This window comes from Homo sapiens, chromosome 12 (assembly GCF_000001405.40).
Source record: "Homo sapiens chromosome 12, GRCh38.p14 Primary Assembly".
In the NCBI taxonomy this organism is placed as follows: Eukaryota; Metazoa; Chordata; class Mammalia; order Primates; family Hominidae; genus Homo; species Homo sapiens.
In genome coordinates this window covers 48,687,260-48,704,894 of record NC_000012.12, presented here as the reverse complement: position 1 = coordinate 48,704,894, position 17,635 = coordinate 48,687,260, and the positions used below count along the sequence as shown (strand labels likewise).

At 40.2% G+C, this 17,635-nt stretch overlaps 1 protein-coding gene across 8 annotated transcripts in view, besides 2 other annotated features; it reads left to right on the top strand.

The window, feature by feature from the left end:
• CCNT1 (cyclin T1) overlaps positions 1-16,437 on the top strand; it is a 28,250-nt gene extending 11,813 nt beyond the window's left edge. For 3 of the 8 annotated variants that reach the window (NM_001240.4, NM_001413198.1, XM_017020197.3), the window contains 6 exons: positions 3,822-3,882; positions 5,055-5,117; positions 6,712-6,757; positions 8,733-8,896; positions 9,066-9,136; positions 10,459-16,437. In NM_001240.4, the coding sequence (NP_001231.2) occupies positions 3,822-3,882; positions 5,055-5,117; positions 6,712-6,757; positions 8,733-8,896; positions 9,066-9,136; positions 10,459-11,862 (1,809 nt within the window). In that variant the 3' untranslated portion in view covers positions 11,863-16,437. Of the gene's footprint in view, positions 1-3,821; positions 3,883-5,054; positions 5,118-6,711; positions 6,758-8,656; positions 8,897-9,065; positions 9,137-10,458 lie in introns of those variants that run through there. The other 5 variants (NR_182118.1, NM_001277842.2, NM_001413199.1 and 2 more) reach the window with 5 other exon arrangements.
• Positions 3,943-4,143: a silencer, noted in NCBI's record as "peak1723 fragment used in MPRA reporter construct". NCBI's record gives its function as "represses an SCP1 promoter by STARR-seq MPRAs in K562 erythroleukemia cells {active_cell/tissue: K562}" and the evidence as "EXISTENCE:reporter gene assay evidence [ECO:0000049][PMID:32103011]".
• Positions 5,103-5,303: a silencer, noted in NCBI's record as "peak1722 fragment used in MPRA reporter construct". NCBI's record gives its function as "represses an SCP1 promoter by STARR-seq MPRAs in K562 erythroleukemia cells {active_cell/tissue: K562}" and the evidence as "EXISTENCE:reporter gene assay evidence [ECO:0000049][PMID:32103011]".
• Positions 16,438-17,635: the final 1,198 nt, after the last annotated feature.

The window sequence follows — 17,635 nt, the reverse complement described above, 5'->3', positions numbered from 1 at the left end:
TTGTTACATTGTTATACATAATGAAATAATTACGTAACTCACCATAACGTAGAATCAGTGGGAGCCCTGAGCATCTCTTTTTTTTTGAGACGGAATCTTGCTCTTGTCGCCAGGCTGGAGTGCAGTGGCGCAATCTCGGCTCACTGCAACCTCCACCTGCCGGTTTCAAGCGATTCTCCTGCCTCAGCCTCCTAAGTAGCTGGGACTACAGGTGTGCACCACCACACACAGCTAATTTTTGTATTTTTAGCAGAGACAGGGTTTCACCATGTTAGCCAGAATGGTCTCGATCTCTTGACCTTGTGATCTGCCCGCCTTGGCCTCCCACAGTGGTGGGATTACAGGCATGAGCCACTGTGCCCGGCCACCTTGAGGTGCTTTTCCTGCAACTAGATGGTCCCATCTGGGGGTGATGGGAGACAGTGACAGATCATCAGGCATTAGATTCTCATAAAGAGCAGCAAATTAGATCCCTTGCATGGGCAGTTCACCACAGGGTTCAAGTGCTCCTATAAGAATCTAATGCCACTGCTGATCAGACAAGAGGCAGTGCTCAGGTGGCAATATGTATGGTGGGGAGAGGCTATAAATACAGATGAAGCTTCACTCACTCGTACCTGCTGCTCAACTCCTGCTGTGTGGCCTAGTTCATAACAGGCCATGGACCCCCTGTTATATAGACAACTGAAGCACAGGTATACTAATGAACCACTGTTATTTGTGGCTTCTTTTCTATAGATAGCTATGTGTGCATGTATTTTGTCTCTGGTTTGTTTTCATTTGCTTACTATATCCCAAATATTTTCCCATCTGATGGATTCTCTACTTTTTAAAAATGTCTGGCTAGTATTTAATGATATATATGTGAATGTATGTATTTTTAACAATTCTCCATGAAGAAGTCTAGATAATTTCTAGCTTTTAAAATCACTATAAATGTTATGAAAAATATTCTTTTTTTTTTTTTTGGAGACAGGGTCTCATTCTGTTGCCCTGGCTGGAGTCCAGTAGTGTGATCATGGCTCACCGCGGCCTTGACCTTCCGGGCTCAGTGATCCCCCTGACCTCAGCATCCCGAGTAGCTGGGACTATAGGTGTGCGCCACCATGCCCAGCTAGTTTTTGTAGAGATGGGGTTTCACCATGTTGCCCAGGCTGCTCTCGACCTCCTGAGCTCAAGTAATTCGCCCACCTTGGCCTCCCAAGTGCTGGGATTACAGGCGTGAGCCACTGCACCTGGCTGAAAAATATTATTATACATTTTTATTATGGATCCTTAAATGAGTAGTTTCACTATTTTTTTTTTTTTTAACTTTTTTTTCGAGTTGGAGTTTTGCTCTTGTTGCCCAGGATTGAGTGCAATGGTGCAATCTCAGCCAACCGCAACCTCCCCCTCCTGGGTTCAAGCGATTTGCCTGCCTCAGCCTCCCGAGTAGCTGGGATTACAGGCATGTGCCACTACACCCGGCTAATTTTGTATTTTTAGTTGAAACGGGGTTTCTCCATGTTGGTCAGGCTGGTCTCGAACTCCTGACCTGAGGTTATCCACCTGCCTCAGCCTCCCAAAGTGCTGGGATTATAGGCGTGAGCCACCATGTCCAGCCAGCTTTGTTTTTTTTGAGACAGAATCTCGTTTTGTTGCCCAGGATAGAGTGCAGTGGCAAGATTGTAGCCAGGATGGTCTCGATCTCTTGACCTTGTGATCCGCCCGCCTTGGCCTCCCAAAGTGCTGGGATTACAGGTGTGAGCCACTGCACCCGGCCACCCTGAGCTTCTTTTCCTGCAACTAGATGGTCCCATCTACGGGTGATGGGAGACAGTGACAGATCATCAGGCATTAGATTCTCATAAAGAGCAGGTGATCATTTCACCTCAGCCTCCCAAGTTGCTAGGACTATAGCTGCGTGCCACCACTCCCAGTTAATTTTTATTTTTTTGTAGAGATAGGGGTCTTACCATGTTACCCAGGCTGGTCTTGAACTCTTGGCCTTCAAAGAATCCTCCCATACTGGCCTCCCAAAGTGTTAGAATTCCAGGTGTGAGCAACCATGCCTAGCTACATTTTTTTTTTCTTTTTTTGAGATGGAGTCTCGCTCTGTCACCCAGGCCGGAGTGCCGTGGTGCGATCTCAGCTCACTGCAACCTCCACCTCCCAGGTTCAAGAAATTCTCTGCCTCAGCCTCCTGAATAGCTGGGATTACTACCTGCATTCACTCTATGGAACAAGCCAAGGTTCACGCCCACCATCACACCCAGCTAATTTTTTAGTATTTTTAATAGAGACAGGGTTTCACCATATTGGCCAGGCTGATCTTGAACTCCTGACCTCGTGATACACCTGCTTTGGCCTCCCTAAGTGCTGGGATTACTGGCGTGAGCCACCGCACCCGGCCCATTCTTTATTTTTTAACTGTCTAAAAAATCCAGTGTATTTTATGGTTATAGCACGTTTCAATTTAGCTACATTTCAAGTGATGAATGGCTACATGTGGCTAGTGGCTATAGCTTTGGCTGGCACAAATCTGAGTGAATTTTCTTATTACCTTTTCCTTTGAACTCTTCTGTTACTTTTTAGAAACCTAACATGGCCCCAAAGGGGAAGTTCTAATAGGAGCCAAATGTTTGGTATTAAATGCTTACAGTACTGTAGGAAGGTTCTGCAAATGTATTTTGGTGATGTTGAAAAATATATACTTTATGGCCAGGCGCGGTGGCTCATGCCTGTAATCCTAGCAATTTGGGAGGCTGAGGCGGGTGGATCACCTGAGGTCAGGGGTTCAAGACCAGCTTTGCCAATATGGTGAAACCCCGTCTCTACTAAATATACAAAAACTAGCCGGGCGTGGTGGTGGGCTCCTGTAATCCCACCTACTCGGGAGGCTGAGGCAGGAGAATCGCTTGAACCTGGGAGGCAGAGGTTGCAGTGAGGCGAGGTCGCGCCACTGCACTCCAGCCTGAGCAGCAGAGCGAGACTCCCTCTCAAAAAAAAAGGCCGGGTGCGGTGGCTCACGCCTGTAATCCCAGCACTTTGGGAGGCCGAGGTGGGCGGATCATCTGAGGTTGGGGGTTTGAGACCAGCCTGACCAACATGGAGAAACCTCGTCTCTACTAAAAATACAAAATTAGCTGGGTGTGGTGGTGCATGCCTGTAATCCCAGCTACTCGGGAGGCTGAGGCAGGAGAATTGTTTGAACCGGGAGGCAGAGGTTGTGGTGAGCCGAGATTGTGCCATTGCACTCCAGCCTGGGCAACAAGAGCGAAACTCCAACTCAAAAAAAAAAGAAAAAAGAAAAGCAAAAAATACATACTTTTAATTTTCTTTTCTCTAAATCACATGAACCATAAAACTTAAATATTAACCTGAAAATGAACCAAATATATGGTGCTTTTTCTGTAGCCATATATAAACTGTTACCTCTCAGCATACTACTTATTTATTTATTTTTTAAAGAAAATGTGTACTGAATGGGCATAAGGGATAAAGATTGTATTTCACAAAAAAATTAGCCGGGCGTGGTGTTGCGCGCCTGGAATCTTAGCTACTTGGGAGGCTGAGGCAGGGGAATTGCTTGAACCAGGGAGGTGGAGGTTGCAGTGAGTCGAGATCACACCACTGCACTCCAGCCTGGGTGACAGAGGGAGACTCTGTCTAAAAAAAAAAAAAAAAAAAAAAAAAAAGATTGTATTTCAGTTCTTAACTCTACCTCCTAACTCCACTCATGCCTTTTATTGTTTTGGTTTCCCTGGAAGGGATTGTTAGAATTGTTTATACTTTATATATTGTGCCTTTGTAGGGAATAATTTCTGTCTTCTCACTTTTAGGCTTATTTGCAACAAGTTCAAGATCTGGTCATTTTAGAAAGCATAATTTTGCAGACTTTAGGTAAGTTTATTTTCCTTTGAAACATTTTTTTAAATTATGCAATAAAATGATTTGATTCTAAAAATTTGCTATATAGGAAGAATATTTCTTGGGAAAGTTTTTGTAGTGTCCCTCTGTTTCCAGATGATAGAGGTTGTAGACCTGAGTTTAGCTTTGACCTGTTCCATAGAGTGAATGCAGGTAGTACAGCTGACCTTTGAAACAGCAGCCAGTGGGTTATTATTTTTTTCATTCTAGGGTTATTTGCTTTTTAAGTTTTGGTGATTTTTACCCCCAAAAATTATAAAAACTATCTAAAGAATGTTTTTCCTTCCGTGGATTGTTATGGCCTGTAACAGCATTTGTTTTTAAAATTGGTAACTAGTGTTTAGAACAGCAGAGTGAAAGTGGGGGAACTTAAGCTTTAGTGGTTGCATGGGCAACTCTGATGATATTGTGTTATTATCTGTTATTTTCATCACACAGGCTGCCTTTAGAAGTTTAGAAAATATGAAAATACAGATTTTTTTTTTCCTGGTTCTTTTGGGCTATCATTTTTCTCTTCTAGGTAGGGTAAGATTTCATGAGTTGTACGTCAAAGTTATTGGCGTAGACACAATTTTTTTTGTACATATATATATATGATGAGTTCTTCAAAGTTTATCTCTCAATTTATTCTAGTTAACTTTTTTCTTTTTCTTTTTTTTTTTTTTTTGAGACGGAGTCTTGCTTTGTCGCCCAGGCTGGAGTGCAGTGGCACAATCTTGGCTCATTGCAACCTCCGCCTCCTGGGTGCACGCCATTCTCCTGCCTCAGCCTCCAGAGTAGCTGGGACTACAGGCGCCCGCCACCACGCCCAGCTAAATTTTTGTATTTTTAGTAGAGATAGGGTTTCACCGTGTTAGCCAGGATGGTCTTGATCTCCTGACCTTGTGATCCGCTCGCCTCGGCCTCCCAAAGTGCTGGGATTACAGGCTTGATCCACCGCGCCCAGCCTCTAGTTAACTTTTTTCTTAAAATATCTTCAAATTATATTTCATGGGACAATGATGTTTTTCTGGTGGAATAAATTTCTATTAATATTTTAGTGTGGAAACCAGTAAGGTGTAATTTACAATCAGTTATCCTTTTACAATAATTTGTAAAATGTAAACTTCTTAATAGTTTTTTAATCCATTACTTTTTCTTTTAAGGCTTTGAACTAACAATTGATCACCCACATACTCATGTAGTAAAGTGCACTCAACTTGTTCGAGGTAAGGAATCCCAGCTTATGAAGACTATCTCAAGCTGTTTTCCCATTTAGAGGTTGTGGTTTGTGGTGGACAATACATAATAGTTCTGCTTTGGCTAAATTTAAAGGCCTACTTGGCTTAAATCAAAATGAGTTGTTCTGACTTGATGTTTTTCTGTTGGGTTCTTACAAGTAATATTTTTAGATGATCTCTAGTTAAAGAGAACTAACCTCTTGAGAATGTTTGTCAAAGTTGGGCAGTTTGTGAAGTTATTTAACAGAAATTTTATGAAAGTTGTGAGGAGTGGGTGATCTTATTTTAATTCTGGGGTTGATTAAAGGCCACCTAGAGGATCATACAGAATTTATTTGGACTTTCCATGATATACAATCCCTTGGCAGAACTTTTCTTTTTAATTCTAATTTAACAATATTAGGTATAATTGAATGAAACTCTCTTATTTAGTTTAGTATCAAGAATATCTGAACACTATTGTGCCTTTAAGTGCCTTTTATGATTTTTAGGCCAAACTGATAATTGGTCTTATTTTACATTTTACTAATATGTGTTTCCTGTGAAAATTCCCAAATTTTCCTGAGTTCTTTATATTTGAAAGTATTAAAATGTTATATTGCACAAGGATAAGACTAGAGATGGGTGTATGTTAATATTGAGAAGACTATGTCCTGAGGAAGATAAAAATTTGCTTTGTCACCCAGAACAGTTTGTTTTGGAAGAAGTTAAATTTTTTCATTGTAATATATTACATTATTTGATGATTTGGGGATTAATTAATTAAATCTTAATTAGGGCTACTTAATTAAAAACTTTTTTTTTTTTTTGAGACGGAGTTTTGCTCTTGTTGCCCAGGGTGGAGTGCAGTAGCACGATCTCAGCTCACCACAACCTCCGCCTCCCGGGTTCAAGCGATTCTCCTGCCTCAGTCTTCCGAGTAGCTGGGATTACAGGCATGCGCCACCACCCCAGCTAATTTTTTATTTTTAGTAGAGACGGGGTTTCTCCATGTTGGTCAGGCTGGTCTTGAACTCTGGACCTCAGGTGATCCGCCCACCTCGGCGTCCCAAAGTGCTGGGATTACAGGCGTGAGCCACCGTGCCCAGCCTTAATTAAAAACTTTCTTAACAGCAAAAGTCACTTTTCCCAAATATGTCAAAGTCTTCTAGATTCTGATCTTGCTTCTAGATCATCTTAGTTCATCCTGTAGTTTAGTGATTCTCAGTGAATCCTTACATCAGAATCTCTGGGTTACTTGTTAAAAAATGCTTGCACCCTTCTCCAAACATTTAATTAAATTTTAGGGAGCAGGTCCAAGAATTGCATTTAAACAAGTACCTCAGATATGTGGTGTGCAGAATAAAGCTTGAGTACCTAGATCTGGAAGCAGCATAGTTATTAATGTTAAAATTAAAAATCATTGATCTGTCTACTTTGGCAGAATGTAAACGTCAGGTTTACAGGGACCATGTGTGTCTCATTTGCCACTATATTCACAGTACCTTGCAAATATTAAATGCTTACTAAATATTTGTTGAGAATGAATGGAACTAATAACTTTTTTCCTCCCCCACCCCTGACTTTTTTTTTTTTTCTTTAGCAAGCAAGGACTTAGCACAGACTTCTTACTTCATGGCAACCAACAGGTTTATATTTTAATTTTTTTTTCTCTTCGATTTTTGGTATAGGACTTTACTTGAGTTTGATACAGTGTGCTATAGATAATTCTCTGGTGAATGTTGATTTTTCTGCACAGTTTTCATGTTGTACTTTAAATTTCCATGGTACTTTTTAATTTTCTAAGGTTATGTAATTATTTAGTACTGATTTTTTTGATAACCTACTCAGTTCTGCATGATAGTGACTGAAAATCTAATTTGGAGTATTCTGCAATAATTATATGTGTATATATATATATATATATATATTTTTTTTTTTTTTTTTAAATTATTATTATTATTTTTTGAGACAGAGTCTTGCTCTGTTGCCCAGGCTGGAGTGCAGTGGCACAATATCAGCTCACTGCAAGCTCCACCTTCCAGGTTTACACCATTCTCCTGCCTCAGCCTCCCGAGTAGCTAGGACTACAGGTACCCGCCACCACGCCCAGCTAATTTTTGTGTTTTTAGTAGAGATGGGGTTTTACCTTGTTAACCAGGATGGTCTCGATCTCCTGACCTCGTGATCTGCCCACCTCAGCCTCCCAAAGTGCTGGGATTACAGGCATATATATATATATATATATATATTTTTTTTTTTTTAAGACAGAGTCTCACTCTGTCTACCAGGCTGGACTGAAGTGGTGCGATCTTGGCTCACTGCAACCTCTGCCTCCCGGGTTCAAGTGATTCTCCGGCCTCAGCCTCTTCACTAAGCTGGGATTATAGACTGGCGCCACCATGCCCCGCTAATTTTTTTGTATTTTCAGTAGAGATGGGGTTTCGCTATGTTGACTAGGCTGGTCTCAAACTCCTGGCCTCAAGTGATCCGCCTGCCTTGGCTTCCCAAAGTGCTGGGATTACAGGTGTAAACCACTGTGCCTGGCCAATAATTATATTTTAAAATATTCCTTTTTCTTCCCCCTCTATCAATCAATGGGCACTTATGGATGTTAAGAGTTTCAGTCTTTTTCCTTCTTCCCTTTTTAAAAAAAGTAAATGAGACTGGGCACAGTGGCTCATACCTGTAATCCCAGGCTGAGGCTGGTGGATCACTTGAGGCTAGGAGTTCGAGACCAACCTGGCCAACATGGTGAAACCACATCTTTACTAAAAAATACGAAAATTGGCAGGGCAAGGTGGCACATGCATGTAGTACCAGCTACTCGGGAGGCTGAGGCACGAGAATTGCTTGAACCCAGGAGGCAGAGGGTGCTGTGAGCCGAGATTGCCCCACTGCACTGCAGCCTGGGTGACAGAGAGAGAGACTCTGTCTAAAAAAAGTAAATGATTAGTACATAACTTGTATTACCAAATGACTTGCCCAACATTGTTAGTTAATGGAAACCAATGATATCCCTAGTAACTGTCAGGGCTAAGAAGTTCATTTTTATAGCCTGTTACGAAAAAGTTTTGAAATAAACCAACATATTTATACTTGAGAGAGTAGTTGTCTGTTTATTATTTTAAATAGACCAGAACTATGATTGGTGAGAGACAAATTATTTTTAAGATATTTCCTTAAGTTTTTGATTTACGGATTACACAGACCAAAAAGCTTACAATTTTCCTTAGGATCTGAGCTTAGTCTCAGGATAATAGGTAATAAATATTGACTTCTAGGCTTGAATACTGGCCCAGAAGTCAATGTTTTAAAGAACTTGAATTCCCAGCCTTTTTCCTTTTTTCCTTTTTTTTTTTTTTGGCTCTGGTCAATGTGTAGATTAAGTGATGTGTAATTCAAGAGTTTTTAAAATGTTGTTACCTGAACAGGTGGGTTAATAGGAAATTATATTGAGTGCTAGATCAGAGCATTGCATATTTCTTACCCTTCTTACTCTCCTGTCTATTTTTAAGCCTTTTTTTTTTTTTTTTTTTTTTTTTTTAAATAATGGAGAGTTTTAGCTTTGGGCTGAGAATTGAGAGCTCATGACACTCTCTGTTTTCTTCCCTCTGATGTCAGCCTGCATTTGACCACATTTAGCCTGCAGTACACACCTCCTGTGGTGGCCTGTGTCTGCATTCACCTGGCTTGCAAGTGGTCCAATTGGGAGATCCCAGTCTCAACTGACGGGAAGCACTGGTGGGAGTATGTTGACGCCACTGTGACCTTGGAACTTTTAGATGGTAAGTTTTAGAGTAAGGGACCTTGAAAAGCACTTGCTGTTGATCTGTCACATAGCTGGCCAAAGGTGACTTGATTCAGATGAAAATAGTTAGTTAGTAGTTCAGGTTATTCTTGTTTCATTACTTCTGTTTCTCTCAGTCTTTCTTGAATGTTCTGTTTTACTTGTAGAACTGACACATGAGTTTCTACAGATTTTGGAGAAAACTCCCAACAGGCTCAAACGCATTTGGAATTGGAGGGTAAGAATCATTACTGTCAGCTTGTGGAACAAAATCAATTTCTTTTGACTGCACCAGTGAATATACCAGTATTGAATATGTACCCTAGGTTTGGAATTGCCCTTTTTATAGTTACACAGTAATCATGACTTCTACTTCATACCTTGGATACTGTTGTAAAAGTCAGTGTCTCTATGGGATAGCAGGATTTGCTTTTCATTGTGTAACTCCTGTGATATGATCATTTGAGCAGTAACACTGGTTCAGTATTTTCTGTGTGGAAACTGGTAGGGAAAAAACATGGCTTCTCGGAGTTAGAGTATTGGCTTCTGGTAGAGGCAAGATAGAGAATTACAAGGTTAGAGCCGGTATCACAGTTTTGTGTTTGACATTACCTACTTTTAAAATGGATTTTAGAATTTTGTTTTTATATAGGCTGTAGTCTGAAGTTGTATTTCAAATACTTGTCAAAGCCTTATTCAGGAATAATGGAATCATTCCTTTTTTTTCTGTCAGATATAAAACTTGTTTTAAAATGTTTCCATTGTTTTCTCCTAAATCCAGACAGAAAAAGTTAATTTCATTCTCCTGAGTTGAGTGAGTGGCAGAGAGTGAGTTTGCCTCTTAGAAGCCTGAGATTAGAAGTAGGCTTGAGAGGCCGGGCATGGTGGCTCATGCCTGTAGTCCCAGCACTTTGGGAGGCCAAGGCAGGCGGATCAACTGAGGTCAGGAGTTCGAGACCAGCCTGGCCAACATGGTGAAACCTCGTCTCTACTAAAAATACAAAAATTAGCCAGGCATGGTGATGCACACCTGTAGTTCCAGCTACTTGGGAGGCTGAGACAGGAGAATCGCTTGAACTCGGGACGTTAGGTTGCAGTGAGCCGAGATTGTGCCACTGCACTCCAGCCTGGATGACAAAGTGAGACTCTGTCTCAAACAAACAAACAAACAAAAAACAACAGTAACAACAAAAAAGAAGTAGGCTTGAGAGCACATCTTTTACTTTAGCATAAAACCTCACCAAAATTTCTAGAACTCAGTTATGGACTAACTATAATCATAAGCGAAGGCATGGATGTTCATGTATGAATTTTAGATAAGCATAGATTCTTTGTTGTTATTATTGCTTTGTAACGTTTGGATAGATTGCTGTGACTCTTAATTGAAGGTTTTAAAATCTTCTCTTGATGGTAATATTTATTGGATTACATGTTAGGATAGCCTCCTGCCTGTGGCCTATCCAGAACTTCCAGTGTTGCTGCAAGTACAATCTACTCATCTCAGTGTTTTTTTATTTAGTAAATTACCTAAGTAAAGAGATGCTATTTGCTTCATTGCAGGCATGCGAGGCTGCCAAGAAAACAAAAGCAGATGACCGAGGAACAGATGAAAAGACTTCAGAGCAGACAATCCTCAATATGATTTCCCAGAGCTCTTCAGACACAACCATTGCAGGTTTAATGAGCATGTCAACTTCTACCACAAGTGCAGTGCCTTCCCTGCCAGTCTCCGAAGAGTCATCCAGCAACTTAACCAGTGTGGAGATGTTGCCGGGCAAGCGTTGGCTGTCCTCCCAACCTTCTTTCAAACTAGAACCTACTCAGGGTCATCGGACTAGTGAGAATTTAGCACTTACAGGAGTTGATCATTCCTTACCACAGGATGGTTCAAATGCATTTATTTCCCAGAAGCAGAATAGTAAGAGTGTGCCATCAGCTAAAGTGTCACTGAAAGAATACCGCGCGAAGCATGCAGAAGAATTGGCTGCCCAGAAGAGGCAACTGGAGAACATGGAAGCCAATGTGAAGTCACAATATGCATATGCTGCCCAGAATCTCCTTTCTCATCATGATAGCCATTCTTCAGTCATTCTAAAAATGCCCATAGAGGGTTCAGAAAACCCCGAGCGGCCTTTTCTGGAAAAGGCTGACAAAACAGCTCTCAAAATGAGAATCCCAGTGGCAGGTGGAGATAAAGCTGCGTCTTCAAAACCAGAGGAGATAAAAATGCGCATAAAAGTCCATGCTGCAGCTGATAAGCACAATTCTGTAGAGGACAGTGTTACAAAGAGCCGAGAGCACAAAGAAAAGCACAAGACTCACCCATCTAATCATCATCATCATCATAATCACCACTCACACAAGCACTCTCATTCCCAACTTCCAGTTGGTACTGGGAACAAACGTCCTGGTGATCCAAAACATAGTAGCCAGACAAGCAACTTAGCACATAAAACCTATAGCTTGTCTAGTTCTTTTTCCTCTTCCAGTTCTACTCGTAAAAGGGGACCCTCTGAAGAGACTGGAGGGGCTGTGTTTGATCATCCAGCCAAGATTGCCAAGAGTACTAAATCCTCTTCCCTAAATTTCTCCTTCCCTTCACTTCCTACAATGGGTCAGATGCCTGGGCATAGCTCAGACACAAGTGGCCTTTCCTTTTCACAGCCCAGCTGTAAAACTCGTGTCCCTCATTCGAAACTGGATAAAGGGCCCACTGGGGCCAATGGTCACAACACGACCCAGACAATAGACTATCAAGACACTGTGAATATGCTTCACTCCCTGCTCAGTGCCCAGGGTGTTCAGCCCACTCAGCCCACTGCATTTGAATTTGTTCGTCCTTATAGTGACTATCTGAATCCTCGGTCTGGTGGAATCTCCTCGAGATCTGGCAATACAGACAAACCCCGGCCACCACCTCTGCCATCAGAACCTCCTCCACCACTTCCACCCCTTCCTAAGTAAAAAAAGAAAAAGAAGAGGAGAAAAAAACTTCTTTAAAAAAACACATAATTTTTCTTTTTTTTTTTTGGACTAAGAAAATTACTTATGAAATATGTCATCCTTGGACTAGGGAATAAATTGATATTGAGACATAGTTAGGAGGGTGGTAGAAGGCCTTGGCTATATATCTGCTGTCTCATGCATTTAACTATTTTCTTACAGTTTTTACTGGTATTAGAGAGGTGTTGAAGCTGTGAAGGATTAAGGACACATTCTGAATTCTTGGCCTCTCCACCATCTAATTAGGTTGATTGGAGTTGATATCTTCCCTCTTCTTGCCAGAGCTGAAAAATGGAGGGTTTCTTGTATCAGACAATTGTGGATCCTTTCGGTGTTTAATATATCAGAAGAGAGGAAGTATTTAAACGTCAAATCTTTTAATAGACTTAATAATTTAAAGAAAGTAAGTTATCTGTTTAGTTTTTTTATATAATTGGGAAGGGGATAGGGATTTTGCTGTGTGTATATGATACATAGCAGTAACTCCTGGTGGGTGGGATTGGAGGGTGGGAATGTGTGAGGGTGGGTGGGAGGCTAGGTTTTTGGCTAGGAGTTCTGAAATAGGCTCAGGCCACTTTTTTCAGACTTTTAAGTGTGTATGTAAGTGTGGGTATGTGTGTTTTTAAGTGTGTGTGTTTAAAAATAATGTTTTATCTTCCCTCCCTGTTCCTTACCGTTTTCATTTTCCAACAGTCTACTAGAGAAAAACATGGTTGGCCTTGAGAACATAAAGGAAGAGGCATGTATTTGACATGGTATTTTTCCCTTTCTTTATGTTATAATTGAGTAGTAGCCCTCTAATTTGTAGTTTGGGCAAGTACAGCCAACACCCTGACTCTTAACCTTATTATGAGAACTTCCTTTTTACCCCTTTTTTTGTTTTTGTGCAAAACAGAGATGGGGTTGAGGAAGGAGGGTTGGCGAGCAAGGCCAGCTTCTGCCCTACAGAATTGGGTGTGTCTTTTTTTTCAAGTGAGGCTTTGGGAAAGTGTTCAAATGAGAGCAGTCTTAAGGTCTCTAAGAGATGGGGAATGTGCTATGTATATCCTGCCTGTGAAAGCCCAAACCATATGGGAGAAGCTAGAGGATACTAAAAACAATGAAATTGTGATTTGGAAGTTTAGAACATTGTTTTAAAAATTACATTATAAATGTAAGACATGCTTTTTATGTGTATATCCGAAGGGAAACAGCTACATCCTCAAGTTTTTGCAGCCTATATGACTTGAGATTGGAGCTTGTGAATTTAACAGTACTGGTGCCATGAGAATGAGCAAAGCCTAGCCAATGGATACTATTGTGTTTAGATTGTTCATCTTTGGTAGCTTTAGGTTCTTGATCGAGGTTCTTAAGATTTCTAAGTCCTTTATAAAAATAGGTCAAGAGTCCTGTTGTTATGGAGGCTTGATTATCCCAGATATTAGGAGTGAACATTTTTAATAAATCTTTCAGAAAATCTTGGCTAGAAAGAATTCTAAGTTAGTTGTCTAACCACTGAAAACTACCTAGCCAGAGATCATTTAATGAGATATTCTTTGATCTTCATTGCATTTTTTTTGCTCTGGAAAAGGTGGTTCAATTTGAGTTTGTTTTCATGATTTGATTGCAGCTTACTTCATGCCAAGGATTTTTTAGGGAGAGGTCGAATTATTTTTCATTTGGAAGTCATAGGGAGACAGGAGTTGTACTTATGCTGCTACTTGCCAGGAACAGGTTGGGAAGAAAATTGTGGCTGTTGGAATTGATGATGTACTGGCCTAATATAGAAAGGAATTTGTAGGCAGGAGTAAACGTTAACTGACGGTGGGTTAGTGCCCTGCATCTTGCATATTTGAACTGTCTAGAGTTCCTGCCATTGCTGGGTATAAAACGAGGAGCTCTCTGTTGACCTGTAAATCATTAATACTTCTTGACTTAGAGTGTCACTTCACTTTATAGATGACATTTTCCTCTTTCCCCTTGATATTTTCTATGTTGTGTTAGATAATTGGTAGATATATAGTTGTGGTTTAGTACATTTAGGGCTTCTATTTATTTAGATTTTGTTTGTTGGAGTCTGTTTCCAAAAGGGAATGTGCCATTTAGTCTGCATCTGTATCTTTGTGGACTTGATGATCACTGGTTTGATTTTGAAAAATGTCTTTTCCAGCTTTTAGTTACTCTCATCAAATGTCACATATTTTCTAATCACATGCACTCCTTTACCACAGAGGCACATAATCATTTGGCCTCATAGCAGTTATCCATGGCCGTACTGTAGTAAAGTTCCTTAGAACTTTGCCAGGAGTGAACTAGAAAAAAGTGCTTACTAGGGCCTAAGAGTTGCTTTGTGCCGTGTAGTCCGGCCTTTGCACTAGTAGATCATTGCTGACATAGGTCAGTTTAGAGACCTTTCTGTGTTAATGCCTCCTGGTACTGTCTTAAGATACGTACAGTGTCTGTTTTTAGATCTATGCATATGTCATGAAGCTCCTTGTGGGCTCTGCATGAAGCTGCTGCTTTGTTTTTGGGTTAACAGATGTGCCTGTCAACTAGCATGTGTATTGTCCAAATTCCATAAACTTAAGGTTTTTAAGGGCTGTGTGGTTTCTGAGCTCTATGTGTCTTTCCTATCCTTGTACCTTCAAAGGGTGAGAAATGAGATTTATACATCCAAAGTTAGTCTGATAAATATGGCTTTTTGTTTCTCCATGTAACCTAGACTGTCAAAAATAAGTGATGGTGATAAGTAGGCCTGGAGCCTCAGCTTCTGTAAATCTCATTCCTAAAATTTTGCTAGACTCGTGTTGGCAAAAACAAATACCTGTGGATTGTCCTTAAGGCTTTTAATCAGATACCTGTGTTGCTGTTAGCTGAACTGTAGTGAAGCATCGATCCAAATCGGTCTTCTGAAGTATCAGTTATGCTTTTGAGTTTAGAAAATACTTAGGTGTTAGTCTAGTCTTCCCATTCATGAATCAGTGTATGTCCATATCAGAGAGCCTCAACTTCTTTTTTCTTCCTTTTTAAAAATGATTTTAGTGTTTTGATTTAGTGTATACTACATAGTTCAGTATTATTGGCTTTACCAGTGTTGACAGAAAAATTTTAAATCTCCAGTTGCAAACAGCAATGGATTAGGATATGGAAATAAAATCATGGTGACATCACTGCTGAGTTATCTTAAACCTCTGCTACTTAATTCTCCATATTGAAATGCATACTCCTCCACATACATGGCTTCCAAGTAAAGGCAATTGTAGAGGGGCCCTGTCTATCCCAGTATGGTTGGATTTTAAACATATCTGTGTTTCCGTTATTTTGGGAACTGATTAATATTTACAATTTTTTTTGTTTATGAGTTATTTTGATACTAAGAAAAGAGAGAATCTAGAACATCTTGCAGTTGAAATACAAATTTTATTCTTTTGGTCTTGGGAGAATTTAAGCAGTCTATGCAACTCATCAAATGGTGAGAAATAGCCCTCCGAGGTTCCAGTAAGCTTTCAGTGACTTTGATACCTCCCCAAGTTTCTTGAGTTGCTGCTTGTTAACACCCAGCTTTTAACTGAGTGTTTGCTCCTGATGGTTTAGGAGATTTTCATGTTGTATCACACTGTCAAGTTTTATTTTGTCTTTTTATCCCTCCGTGGATGTGAGTTTGAAACAAGCACGGTACAGTAATCCTGCCTGATAGAGTAGTCTGGAATGAGAATTACTTTTTGGGTGAGAGAGTTCTCCATTTTAATGTTTCTAAAGTTTTTCATATGAACTTGGCATTGGAAAAGGGAGGTAAAGAAAAAGGACGTTTACTAAAAGCAGTGTCTACTCTTCCCCTTTGTGAGTGTTTATTCATGGCTAATGAAAAAAAGAGAAGGACTCTTGGGTTTTGTGTTGCCATGTTAAGCATGGAGAGGGATGCTTGACAGCATGCTAATTGAAGCCAGAGCAAGTATGTCCTTCATCAGGTAATCAGGAACTCTTCAGTTGAAGCTGAGGAACTAACTGATTAGTTGTTGATCATAATATAATTGGTTACAAAGTGGAAGTGCCAGCTGGCTTAAGTACCCAAAGAAAAGAATGCAGCAGCCTAACTTAGTGTTACCATATGTTACTGAATTTGAAACTGACCTTTTTTCCCACCCTACTTCACACACCTAAAACTCTTTTCTTGTCAGACCAAAGAGCGAAAAGAAAAAAAAAAGTAAAACACTTTACCAATCTGTCACTCAGGTACAATTTTGTGGTGAGATTTTTGTCTGTTCTCTTTGTATTGCTCTTAAGAGTCCTTTCTCAGCATATTATTCTGCCATTGCCTCTGTCTTCCTTGGGGCACCTCAGCTCTGGATGCTACCCCTGGGATATCTACTGCTGTTATGTGAATGATAGGAGGTAAGTGACCATTATAGTAAGGGCTCTTTGTAAAAAAATTCAAAAAATTTAAAAAGGATGTATACATTTTATAGTCTGGCTATCAGTTTGATATCTTGCTGTCAAGTATGTTTCTCAATCTGTATTTATCCATCCCATCAATAAATGTTAATGGTAAAACACTCATTTGATTGTTGTTTATGTGTACTGTCCTCAAATTAGTCCTTAGTCTTTTTTTTTTTTTTTTTGAGACGGAATCTAGCCCTGTCACCCAGGCTGGAGAGTACAGTGGCGTGATCTCGGCTCACTGCAACCTCTGCTTCCCGGGTTCAAGCGATTCTCCTGTCTCAGCCTCCTGAGTTGCTGGGATTACAGGCACCCACCACTATGCCCAGCTAATTTTTGTATTTTTAGTCGAGACGGGGTTTCACTGTGTTGGCCAGGCTGGTCTCGAACTCTTGACCTCAGGTGATCTACCCACCTCGGCCCCCCAAAGTGCTGGGATTACAGGCATGAGCCACCGCGTCCAGCCTAGTCCTTAGTCTTTAACTGTAATTTTATTGATATGTTTACAATTTTGTTTCAATTTTGGTATTAGTCTGTTTTCTTATTGTGCAAGATCCTGTGGGAATTGAGTCCGTTGGAAAGACCCAAGATTTGTCGATCAGTAAACCCAGTAGTATAAAGTATGTTGTAGTCAAAGGGAAGAAAAAAACCCTCACTCTGTATTGTTACATGAATACCTGGAAGAGTAACTTGTACAAAAAAAAAATTATAGCACTAACAGATGATGGCAGCATGTACTGCTTATCTAGCAAGCATTATCAACATGATTCATAATTGTATACGTGGTTCTTTGAAAAGCCTGACATGTTAGTACAGACATAGCATTGTATCTGGAGGAAAATACACTTCGAAGAAAAAAACATTCTTGGTAGTGCCTGGAAAAATTGATAGTGAATACTCATCCTGAGACGTAATAAAACCACATTTACAAGGTAACTCTTGTAAATTACACACTGAAAATAAAGAACTTTTATGCTAAAGTACTCCATACTTATTACACAAAGTTAGTAATAGATATAGTTTGAAAGCTTTAAAAGGAAAAAAATAAATAATGATACTTCTGAAAAGTCACTTGAGTCGTTTCTTCTGTTTTCTAAAATAAGGTAGCTAATTTTACAAACTGTATACCGCTCCTGAAAAGAATATGAAATCGGAAATCTTTGCAGAAGTTGCTGATAGAATAGGAAGATGCTGACAGTTTAGGAATTCTGGTGTGGTTTGAAGCACTCCCCTGCTTTTCATTCATTCCTTCTTTAGAAAATAATACCTACTTCCCAACACTTTCGGAGGCTGAGGTGGGAGGATTGCTTGAGGCCAG